Raw genomic sequence first — 11333 nt, forward strand, 5'->3', positions numbered from 1 at the left:
GCATTACCATTCAGGACATAGGCATGGGCAAGGACTTCATGTCCAAAACACCAAAAGCAATGGCAACAAAAGACAAAATTGACAAATGGGATCTAATTAAACTAAAGAGCTTCTGCACAGCAAAAGAAACTACCATCAGAGTGAACAGGCAACCTACAAAATGGGAGAAAATTTTCACAACCTACTCATCTGACAAAGGGCTAATATCCAGAATCTACAATGAACTCAAACAAATCTACAAGAAAAAAACAAACAACCCCATCAAAAAGTGGGCAAAGGACATGAACAGACACTTCTCAAAAGAAGACATTTATGCAGCCAAAAAACACATGAAAAAATGCTCATCATCACTGGCCATCAGAGAAATGCAAATCAAAACCACAATGAGATACCATCTCACACCAGTTAGAATGGCGAGCATTAAAATGTCAGGAAACAACAGGTGCTGGAGAGGATGTGGAGAAATAGGAACACTTTTACACTGTTGGTGGGACTGTAAACTAGTTCAACCATTGTGGAAGTCTGTGTGGCGATTCCTCAGGGATCTAGAACTAGAAATACCATTTGACCCAGCCATCCCATTACTGGGTATATACCCAAAGGACTATAAATCATGCTGCTATAAAGACACATGCACACGTATGTTTATTGCGGCATTATTCACAATAGCAAAGACTTGGAACCAACCCAAATGTCCAACAATGATAGACTGGATTAAGAAAATGTGGCATATGTACACCATGGAATACTATGCAGCCATAAAAAATGATGAGTTCATGTCCTTTGTAGGGACATGGATGAAATTGGAAATCATCATTCTCAGTAAACTATCGCAAGAACAAAAAACCAAACACCGCATATTCTCACTCATAGGTGGGAATTGAACAATGAGATCACATGGACACAGGAAGGGATATATCACACTCTGGGGACTGTTGTGGGGTCGGGGGAGGGGGGAGGGATAGCACTGGGAGATATACCTAATGCTAGATAACGAGTTAGTGGGTGCAGCGCACCAGCATGGCACATGTATACATATGTAACTAACCTGCACAATGTGCACATGTACCCTAAAACTTAAAGTATAATAAAAAAGAAAATAAAAAAAATTAAAAAAAAAGAAAAGAAAAATGAAGATGGGGGTGGGAGGACCAGAAGTTTTACCAAAGACATCTCTTTTCCTTTCATGCACTCAGGGATCCTACAGTCAGCAACCCCTAGACAAAATCATTCAACAATCTAAAACATGATTGTGTTGGCACCTAGCTTCTGGTTCTCCATCTTATACAAATAAATAGTCAACGAGGAAAGAATAGGCTCATTTGCTCCTTTATCTAATCATTAAATACATACTGAGCCCCAAATTCCCAGCTAAAACCCAAAGAACCAAGATCTAAAGAGGAGAACATTGCAGAAAGATGAGCATAAACAGCACATGAAGGTATGAAAGGTCAAATGAGCTCAGAGGAGGATAAAATTGGTTTGAGGGCTCCTATGGGGAAAAGATTTAAAGATAGGTTAAAAACAGCTGTCGGCCGGGTGCAGTGGCTCACACCTGTAATCCCAGCACTTTGGAAGGCCGAGGTGGGTGGATCACCCGAGGTCAGGAGTTCAAGACCAGCCTGACCAATGTGGTGAAACCCCCTCTATTAAAAATACAAAAATTAACCAGGCATGGTGGCACATGCCTGTAATCCTAGCTACTTGGGAGGCTGAGGCAGGAGAATTGCTTGAACCTGGGAGGCAGACATTGCAGTGAGCTGAAATTGCACCACTGCACTCCAGACTGGGCAACAAGAGTGAAACTCTGTCTCAAAAAAACAAAACAAACTATGGAGTTGGAATTTATTTCTTTAAGCAATACAAAGCTATAAAGACTTTGTAAATATGAGACAGCATTATCTGAACATGTGTTCTTGGAAGATTACCCTGCCAGTAGTACAATTATTTGCTGCTAAGTGGAACTGAGGTTGAGCAGGGACTCATAGCATTACAATGGTCCATGTGGGAGGTGATGAGGGGCTTCAGTTGGGAGGAAGAAAGCAAAAGTGGGAGATGCAAATATATCAGGGACAGAACTTAGCAACTCACTCTATCTGAGGAAACAGAAGAAGATGAAGCAAATCAGACTGGCTAATCTGTATGACTCGGGGTCTGGTACTGATATTGAGTAGAGGGTAGAAACACAGAAAGAATGGGTGTATGGGGAAAATAGTGAGTTCAGTCTTTACGTTTGAGATCTCATGAGGTGTCTGTGCAATAACTACAATATGTAACTAATAAAAAGGAGCATTTTATGCTATTTCACAGTTTGTAGCAACTGTGGGTATTCTCACATTGTTCTGGGAAAGTCTCCCAACTCAACATTTGCCTGCACTCGTTGTAAGCCCTTGAGAGACATTCAGGAAATTCCATGTGCTTATGACTCTAAAGTGCACACCCAGGAAAAGATATGTTATAATGCACTGTGTAAAGTCAGGGCTATACTATGCTGACAATAGGCCTGAAGAAGCCTGCAGCCCTCTAAGGACTTGCTCTAGGATATACCATATGTGGGCATAGATTCCATGAAGAATACAAACACACCTAAGGGCAGATTTGGAACTTGCACCCAACAGTACAGGATATAGTGACATCCAGCTAAAAGAGAAAAAGGAAAGGAAAGAAGGAAGGAAGGAAGGAAGGAAGGAAGGAAGGAAGGAAAGAAGGAAGGAAGGCCGAGAACACACCAAAAAGCCAGCAAGCTAGTTGTGTCTCTAGGAACCCAGTGGATAGTTTTATAATAATACTGCATCAAATTTCATTAAGCTCAAGATCTAAAAATCATCAACAATTTCATCATAAGATGGAATTTGAGGCCGGGTCCCGTGGCTCATGCCTGTAATCCCAGTACTTTCGGAGGCTGAGGCGGGCGGATTACCTGAGGTCGGGAGTTAGAGACCAACCTGGCCAACATGGTGAAACTCCATCTCTACTAAAAATACAAAAATTAGCCGGGCATGATGGTGGGCGCCTGTAATCCCAGCTACTTGGGAGGCTGAGGCAGAAGAATCGCCTGAACCCGGGAGGCAGAGGTTGAAGTGCAGTGCAGCACGCCACTGCACTTCAGCCTGGGCTACAGAGCGAGACTCCACCGAAAAAAAAAAAACAAAAAACCATGGAATTTGAGGCTCAGCCCCTAAAAGTCAGGAACACTGAACCTATACATAAATGTGTACCATAATAGAAGACCAACATCAAAGAGGATTTATCCTAAATCAAACTCTCTCTTCCTTCATATGTCTTTACACACCATATCTGACTTAGGTCATGTTCCTTTTGACATTCCCTTGTCTATTCTTCTGTTTTTCCTATCACTTTCCAACTTAGGCATTTCTGTTTTCCCTTACAGCTGGACTGGCATTCTAGCTCATCCTGGGTCTTTCTTTGTCTGGTTGGCTGCATTTGGAAGGACCTTGCTGAACTTGACCTCTGGTTATGCTCTGAAACTGTTCTCTTAAAAAGCTACCATGGAGTGGTCCTGCCAGCCCTGGCAATGTCTCACCACCTGTGCATCAGTGCCAGCCAAGTTGGAAGATAGGATGGATGCCTGCACACTTAAATTTTTAATTGTTGACATCTCTAAGTCTGGAAGTAATTTTGTCAATAATGTATTAGAGTTACATAGCTAGATTATTCTACAGTAAGTTTATGGGGTATACTCAGTTTATTTCATTCAATAAATTGTATAATAAACACAGATCCAGAAATGGTGTTGAGTGATGAGATTATATTGATGAAAAGACACAGTGATTGCCTTCAAAGAGATCATATTCCGGTATGACAATATTTAAGAATTGTAATATATTGTGTTAAGTTTCATAATAGGAGTTTGCAGTTTTTGTCACCTTCTCACCTTTCTCACTTGCCTCAGATAAGAGACAAATCATAGTCTCCAGTAGATTCGCTATATTTGTTATAATTGATTAGAAGACTTGATAATGAGAGAAGTCCAAACATGCTACTTTTCATGAGCTTTGTTTTTCTAATTAAACATGCATCATACTATATCAATGACTAAAACAGCAATTTTTAATATTTGTTCAGAGGCCGGGCACAGTGGCACATGCCTGTAGGCCCGGCACTTTGGGAAGCTGAGGTGGGCAGATTGCATGAACCCAGGAGTTAGAGTCCAGCGTGGGCAACATGGCAAGACCCCATCTCTACAAAAATACAAAAATTAGCTGGGTGCAGTGGCTTGGGCCTATATCCCAGCTACTTGGAAGGCTAAGATAGGAGGATACTCTGAGCTAGGGAGGTCGAGGCTGCAGTGAGCTTGTGCCACTGCCCTCCAACCTGGGTGACAGAGTGAGACCTTGTCTAAATAAAATAAAATAAAGTTTATTCAGGAATCTCAGTCGGTGGGGGGGAATGGAGTCTTCCAATGTATTTGAGAGGATCTTCAGGTCAGTACCATTTTCATGATCAGAATTTTTGACATTTTCTCTCTCCTCCTTAGTGCCATGTTTATTAAACAAATTTTATAATAAATACAGATCCAGGAATGGTATTGGACAATGATGTAAAACTGATGAAATGCAGTGGTTTTCCAGAGACCATGTGAAGTGTGATATTGTAAAAAACAAAAAAAATGCAGAGTAGATATTCTAGACAGTAAAGGGATTTTTCAAAAATGTTAAAAAGCTTGTTTTCACATAAGGGAAGGAGAAAGAATAAAATTATATTTCTTGGCAATCTGGAAAAACTTCCAGGAGGAGGTGAGGACCAGATTCTTTGACCATTGGTATGTCACTAGCTATATATTATAGTTTATATATATCTACTTCCTTGGGATCAACAGTGCAACATAAGAAGTTTCTAAAATATTAAGTAGGAAGCAGATGGAGATTCCTTTAAGTTCAATAGTCAAAGAGCAAATAAGAGGTCAATGCTGACTCCCCAGGCACAGCCCCAGTGAGATGCTTTTTGATCTGAACAATAACTCTATTGTAATTAACACAATTGCTGCATATATTCTTTTCTCAATTTATGGGCACAAGTCCCATGGAGTTAAAGGGATTTCAGTGCATGTGTCAAGGGAATATCATAGTAGCCTGAATTATTAACCTATATATTTATCAAAACCTTTTTACAAAGGGCTCTCTATATTTTTTAAAATTTGTATAACTTTGCAATTTTATATTTCAAATAAAAAGTTTTATTTGCACCTATCTATAATAAGAAACATTGCAAATTATTTTGAAATGAGGTTGTATATTGACAACATTCAGAGTATGCTGAATTTGTGCATTAACTCCATAATTGTCCCCAAGAAATCAATAAACAGATATTGCTCTTACATGAGACAGAAATTTCTCATGAAAGCCAGAATGATTTTAACATTTGAATAATGAAAGCTTCTATTTAAATGCCATATTGCAGTTCAAATAACTCTTTAAGTCTGTAGAAAAACATGTACATGAATATTCACAGCAGCTATATTCACAATAGCCAAAAGTAGAAAATGATCCAAATGTCCATCAACAGGTGAATGGGTGAAATATACATCCATATAATAGAATACTACTCAGCAATTTAAAAAGTATCGCTGTTACAACAAATAAAGAAATTTCAAAAATCATCATGCTGCATAAAAGGAGCCAGACACAAATAGTACATATGGTATGATTTCATTTATATAAAATTCTAGAAAATGTAAACTAATCTATACAGATAGAAAGAAGATTGGTGATTTCAAGGGGGTAAAGGGAAGAGGAGCAGAAGGAAGGATGAACTGCAACGGAGTACAAGGAATCTTTTGGAGTGAAGAAAATATCCTATAACTTAATTATGGTAATGGTTTCACAGGTGCAGACCTTGTCAGAACTCATCAAATTGTGTTCTGTAAATGGATTCAGTTTACTGGGCATAACTTTGTATTAGGCCATTCTTTCATTGCTATAAAGAAATACCTGGGACAGTAATTTATAAAGAAAAGAGGTGCAATTGGCTCACAGTTCTGCAGGCTTTACAAGAAGCATGGTTGCTGGCATCTGCTTGGCTTCTAGCAGGCTTTCAATCATGGTGGAAGGCAAAAGGGGAAGCAGGCACATAACTCAGAGAAAGCAAGAGAGAGAGAAAGAGAATGGTGGGGGGAAGTGCCACACACTTTTAAATGACCAGAATTCATGAGAACTCACTCTCACGAAGACAGAAGCAAGCCATGAGGGATCTGCCCAGATGATCCAAATGCCTCCCAGCAGGCCCCACTTCCACCCAGCATTGGGGATTACAATTCAACATGAGATTTGGGCGGGGACAAATATCCAAACTATATCAACTTATACCTCAATAACGTTGATTTTTTAATGTACTTTAACACAAATAAACTCATTTGCTCATCTAAACAATCCTGTGACATAGGAAAGAAAAATTGTAATCTTATTTTGTCAATAGAGAAACTGGGTCTTGAGAAATGCAACAGCTTGACCATGGCTAATAACTCTCAGAGTTTCAGAAGATAGTTGTAAAGGATGGTGATTTTTAAATGTTTTCATGTGAGTTTTTTCTTTTTGTTATTTTTGTCAAGTGTAATATTCTATAGAAACCCATTGTATAAAACAGCAAAAGCTGGGCTGCTCCGATTGGAGCAGAGATGGCTATGAGTGGGCCTGGAAGTGCTACCCCTTCCAGGGAAGGCAGGGCAGGGATGGTGCCACAGGGTCCTACACGATTTGAACTCCCTGAGGTGATGCAACCAACATGGATTCTGATCACAGACTTCTACTCTGTCGCTTTCTAGCTTGAAAGCCTATATTTGCAAATGAGGTAAGTGTATTCACAGGATTAGTCACAGAATTTTTCAGTGCTTATGCCATTTTCTTTATTTCTTTCTCTCTCTCTCTCTCTTTCTTTCTTTCTTTCCTTTTCTTTTTTGAGACAGAATCTCACTCTGTTGCCCAGCCTGGAGGGCAGCGATGTGATCTTGCCTCGCTGCAACCTCTGCTGCCTCCCGGGTTCAAGCGATTCTCTTGCCTCAGCCTCCCAAGTAGCTGGGATTACAGGCGCCTGCCACCATGCCCGGCTAATTTTTGTATTTTTAGTAGAGACAGGGTTTCACCATGTTGGCCAGGCTGGTCTTGAACTCCTGACCTCATGATTCACCCACCTCGGCCTCCCAAAGTGCTGGGATTACAGGGGTGAGCCACAGTGCCCGGCCACTTATGCCATTTTCTTAGTTCCTGTTTTATATAGTTTATGTGTTTTATTTTGTCATTCTGATAATTTACTGCTTAACATAATATAATAGTATCTAAGTGTTGGATATTTTGAATACTCCCAAGAATGCTGGAGATGAAGAAAATCCCACTCAACAATGTTTCATGAAACTAATTACCTGGGAGAATTCATGAAAGTTGGGCCAGTGGTGTTAAATCAGCAGCAGTAGGAAAATCACTAAGCTAAACCTGAGCTTTATCTTTGACTCCTATCTCTCCCATGTCTAGTCAGTCACTGCAACAAATTCACCCAAGTGATTTTCACTTGAGTAGTTCAAATTATCTTTATCTCCATGGTCATCACCATCATTCAGACCAACCAATGTCCTTCTCTATGACAGTCAAGGTCCAGCTTCAATCCACATACAATTTAGTCCCCACAGTACAGCCAAAATAATCATTCCAAAAATGCAATCAATTCCTGCTGGTCCTCTGTGTAAAATCTTCTCAAGGTTCTCAGTTCCCTTCAGGAAAATCTCCAAGCTTTCTCTTAGAGTTTGCAGGGTCCTAGTGAATAGGACTCTGCTGATCTCTCAGCAACATCTTTTCTTTTTTTTTTTTTTTAGACAGAGTCTCACTCTGTCACCCAGGCTGGAGTGCAGTGGTGCCATCTCGGTTCACTGCAACCTCTGCCTTCTGGGTCCAAGCGATTCTTCTGCCTCAGCCTCCCGAGTAGCTGAGACTATAGGTGTCCACCACCACGCATGGCTAATTTTTGTATTTTTAGTAGAGATGGGGTTTCACCATGTTGGCCAGGCTGATCTCAAACTCCTGACCTTGTGATCCACCCACCTCGGCCTCCCAAAGTGCTGGGATTACAGGTGTGAGCCGTCGTGCCCAGCCTCAGCAACATCTTTTATCACATGCAACCTTACACTTTACCCTTCTGGCAAAATGAAACCTGTTTGGTTCCTCAAACACGTGACTTATTGGCTTCCCAACATGCTACTACTTCCTCCCCCAAACGTGCTACCTACTCCTCTTCATCTGACCTATCTCCTCTTCATCACCCATTCATGCTTCACCTTAGCTCTCACTTCTTTTGCAGGCCTTCCTTCCTGCCTTTTATCTCAGCCACAAGCTCCTCCTAAGACTGAATTCTTTTTTGCAACATAGTATTTATAGCCATATTGTATTAGCCATTTGTTAATTATAATACTCTTTGTGCCCATGTTATCTCCCTCAGAATTATAAACTCCTCGACAGAAACATATCTTGCTTTTTCATCACTTTCTCCCCAACATCTAGCATAGAGCCTGACACAGAGTAAGCACTCAATAAATATTTCTCGAGTGAATTGACTGAATAAGCCATACAAATGGCCAGAGTGGATGGCCCTAGACTGCTTGTTGGTGCCAGATTTAGCTAACATATGTGCAGTAGATGGGCCACATTGCTTTCTTTCAAAATGAAGGTAACAGAAAATAAGTGTGGGTTCATGATTCAACATCTCTTCCGGTTGAATATTACATGGAATCGGTGAATCTAGTTCAAACCCCAAAGTTTTAATCCTTGTAAGAAGAATATACAGAAACAGTGTCACTTTCCAAGATATTCTTTCCCTGACAAGAAGGATTTTCTAGCACTTTAATCCATAAAGCACCTCTGTGATTAGATTTCAGATTCACTGTCGGTAAAAAGGCCCTATCCAAGGAGACTAACGCACGAAGGTTAAAGATGAAAAATACTGGTTAATTTTTAAGCATGTTAGGATAATTGGGCCCAACATGAGTAAATTGCTTTCATATGAAAGGCTTTGAGCAATTGTTAAATTATAAACATTGAAAATACATTTTCTGCATCCAATCTAAAAAGAAAAGGTTTCCATTTGTACAGCAAATTAGATTCAGGTATTTCTATAGGTCAGCATTTTCTTTCCTTTTCTTTTCTTTTCTTTTTTTTTTTTTTTAAGCAGGGGAAGCTCTTCTGGTACTTGCTGTGTCTGATTCAAAGATGGAAAGGATTTGGTGACTGCGGAAGCCTTTGCCTTGCACTTGTCCCACAGCAATTACGCTGGAAGGGGTCCTAGACTTGTGGGGTGTGGGATGTGGGATAAATTTGGAGAAAGACCACAGTATGTAAACAAAACCTGCCGGTTTTCCAAAATACCTAACCACAAGACTTCACATTTTGGCAGCTAGAAAGAGTCAAATATGCTTTATTCTGAGAACAAATTTTATTCTCAGCGGGGAGAAATATGAATCCCAGTTCAAGCAAGAAACTACCAATAACCAAAATTAAAGGAATTTCGAAATATAGCCTCTGTAGAAAAACCTAGCAAGCCCACATAGTGAGACAATATTAATCAAGAAACTGATGACATCAGTAGAATCCTTGAAGTGTGTGTAGATGTTCAAAATCCTTCAGGCTAAAATCTATGGAAGAAGAGTTATTTCTGGACAGATTATTAGCATTAAACTGGTTACTTTATGTTAATGAAATCTTCTAACTTGCAACATAAATCAAATGACAATGTGAGTCTTTAATAATATGATTTTTAAGTTTGTAATGTTCTTAAAAAATTATATGTCATTGTTATATGGCTTGGCCCATCAGACACTTTAAAACAATTAGAAAGTCAAAAATAGATCATCTATTTGAAAACATGATTATATTTTCCTAGAATTTCAATATTGTTGCTGATTAGAGAAAACAACTGGTTCAAATCCCAAATAGCTCTAAAGTTGTAGGATATCCACGCCTATAGGTCTTACTGACAACTCACATTTCAAGACGGCCAGGGAAAATGTTCATCTCTGCCTTTTGAAAGGAAATGGGCTGCAGGGTCTTCTTCCTGAGCTGGAGCTATCTTCCAGAGCTATCTTGCCAAGTCTGGAGATCCAAGGAAAGGTAAAAGTTCAGTTGACTTTAGGCGTACTGATGGCATTGCTTTGATTCATTTTCAGTCAGAGAAAAGGGGAAGTATGGACTAAGTGGTGTATGGTACCTTTGCTAAAATTCGAGGTTCAGAAGTGGGTTCTTTAAAATTTCCATAAAGCAAGCAGAGGGTGGGAGCATCTCCAGTTACTATCTCAGAAGGGACTTAGGAACTATAGGTTAGGAACTCTAACTATAAATAATATTGATTTATTAAAATCCTATAGTGATTAGAGATAAAATGCTTTTTTAAAACAGTACATTCATTCACTGATTCTCCCATTTATTCAAGAAATATTTGCTGAATGCTTACTATCAGCCCTTGCCTGGTGTTAACTCATCTGGCATTGAGGATACAACAGTGAACAAAAATGAGACATTCTCTACCCTCATGGAACTAGTCACTGGTTTTCTGTTTGTTTGTTTGTTTGTTTTCTGTTTTGAGACAGTCTCACTGTGTTACCCAAGCTGGAGTGCAGTGGCACAATCTCAGATCACTGCAGCCTCCGCCTCCCGGGTTCAAGCCCCCCGCGTAGCTGGGATTACAGGCATGCACCACCATGTCCAGCTATTTTTGTATTTTTAGTAGAGACGGGGTTTCTGCATGTTGGCTACGATGGTCTCAAACTCCTGGCCTTCAGCCATCTGCTCACTTTGGCCTCCCAAAGTGCTGGGATTACAGGCATGAGCCACTGTGCCCAGCCTAGTCACTGTTATTAATGGCAGGTGTGTAATATATATGCATGAGTGTATGTAGATAAAGATATAGAGATAGAGAGACACAAACTCAGAATTTAAATACCCTCCACTTTTTGGCAGGAAGCCCCAAAGAGTTGAAGAGGAAGAGAGCCATGCTTCCCACCTTCCCACTGTGGAAATTAAGGGGAAATAATCACTCTTTTCCCATCTCCCAGCACCCAAGACCAGACATGCTCTACTCAAGGAATTTGAGCTTTGAGAGTGCATGACAATAGCTCAGAAGCAATAGAAACTTTTCAAGAATTCTGGTACTAAAAGAGTTCTGAATTCAGCAGTCTCAATGGTGAGGTTCTGAACAGACACGAACCCTGGTGTGGTCTGGCTTATCTTGCAGCGGCTTAGCCTCGGGCTTTCTGCCAATTTCCCTTCCTTGATTTCTCGGCAATCTCATCTATCTCTCTCCTATACCTTTTAATGCTCCAGTTTAACAAAGTTGCTTTC

At 40.1% G+C, this 11333-nt stretch overlaps 1 long non-coding RNA gene across 1 annotated transcript in view; it reads right to left on the bottom strand.

Moving 5' to 3' along the window:
- Window positions 1-11076, bottom strand: part of LOC105370275 (uncharacterized) — a 44604-nt gene extending 33528 nt beyond the window's left edge. Inside the window, exons 1-2 of the long non-coding RNA XR_942116.3 lie at window positions 10996-11076; window positions 9982-10088 (exon numbers count right to left, since the gene is read on the bottom strand). This is a non-coding gene — a long non-coding RNA (uncharacterized LOC105370275). The remainder of the gene's footprint in view (window positions 1-9981; window positions 10089-10995) is intronic.
- Window positions 11077-11333: the final 257 nt, after the last annotated feature.

This window comes from Homo sapiens, chromosome 13 (genome assembly GCF_000001405.40).
Source record: "Homo sapiens chromosome 13, GRCh38.p14 Primary Assembly".
Classification (NCBI taxonomy): Eukaryota; Metazoa; Chordata; class Mammalia; order Primates; family Hominidae; genus Homo; species Homo sapiens.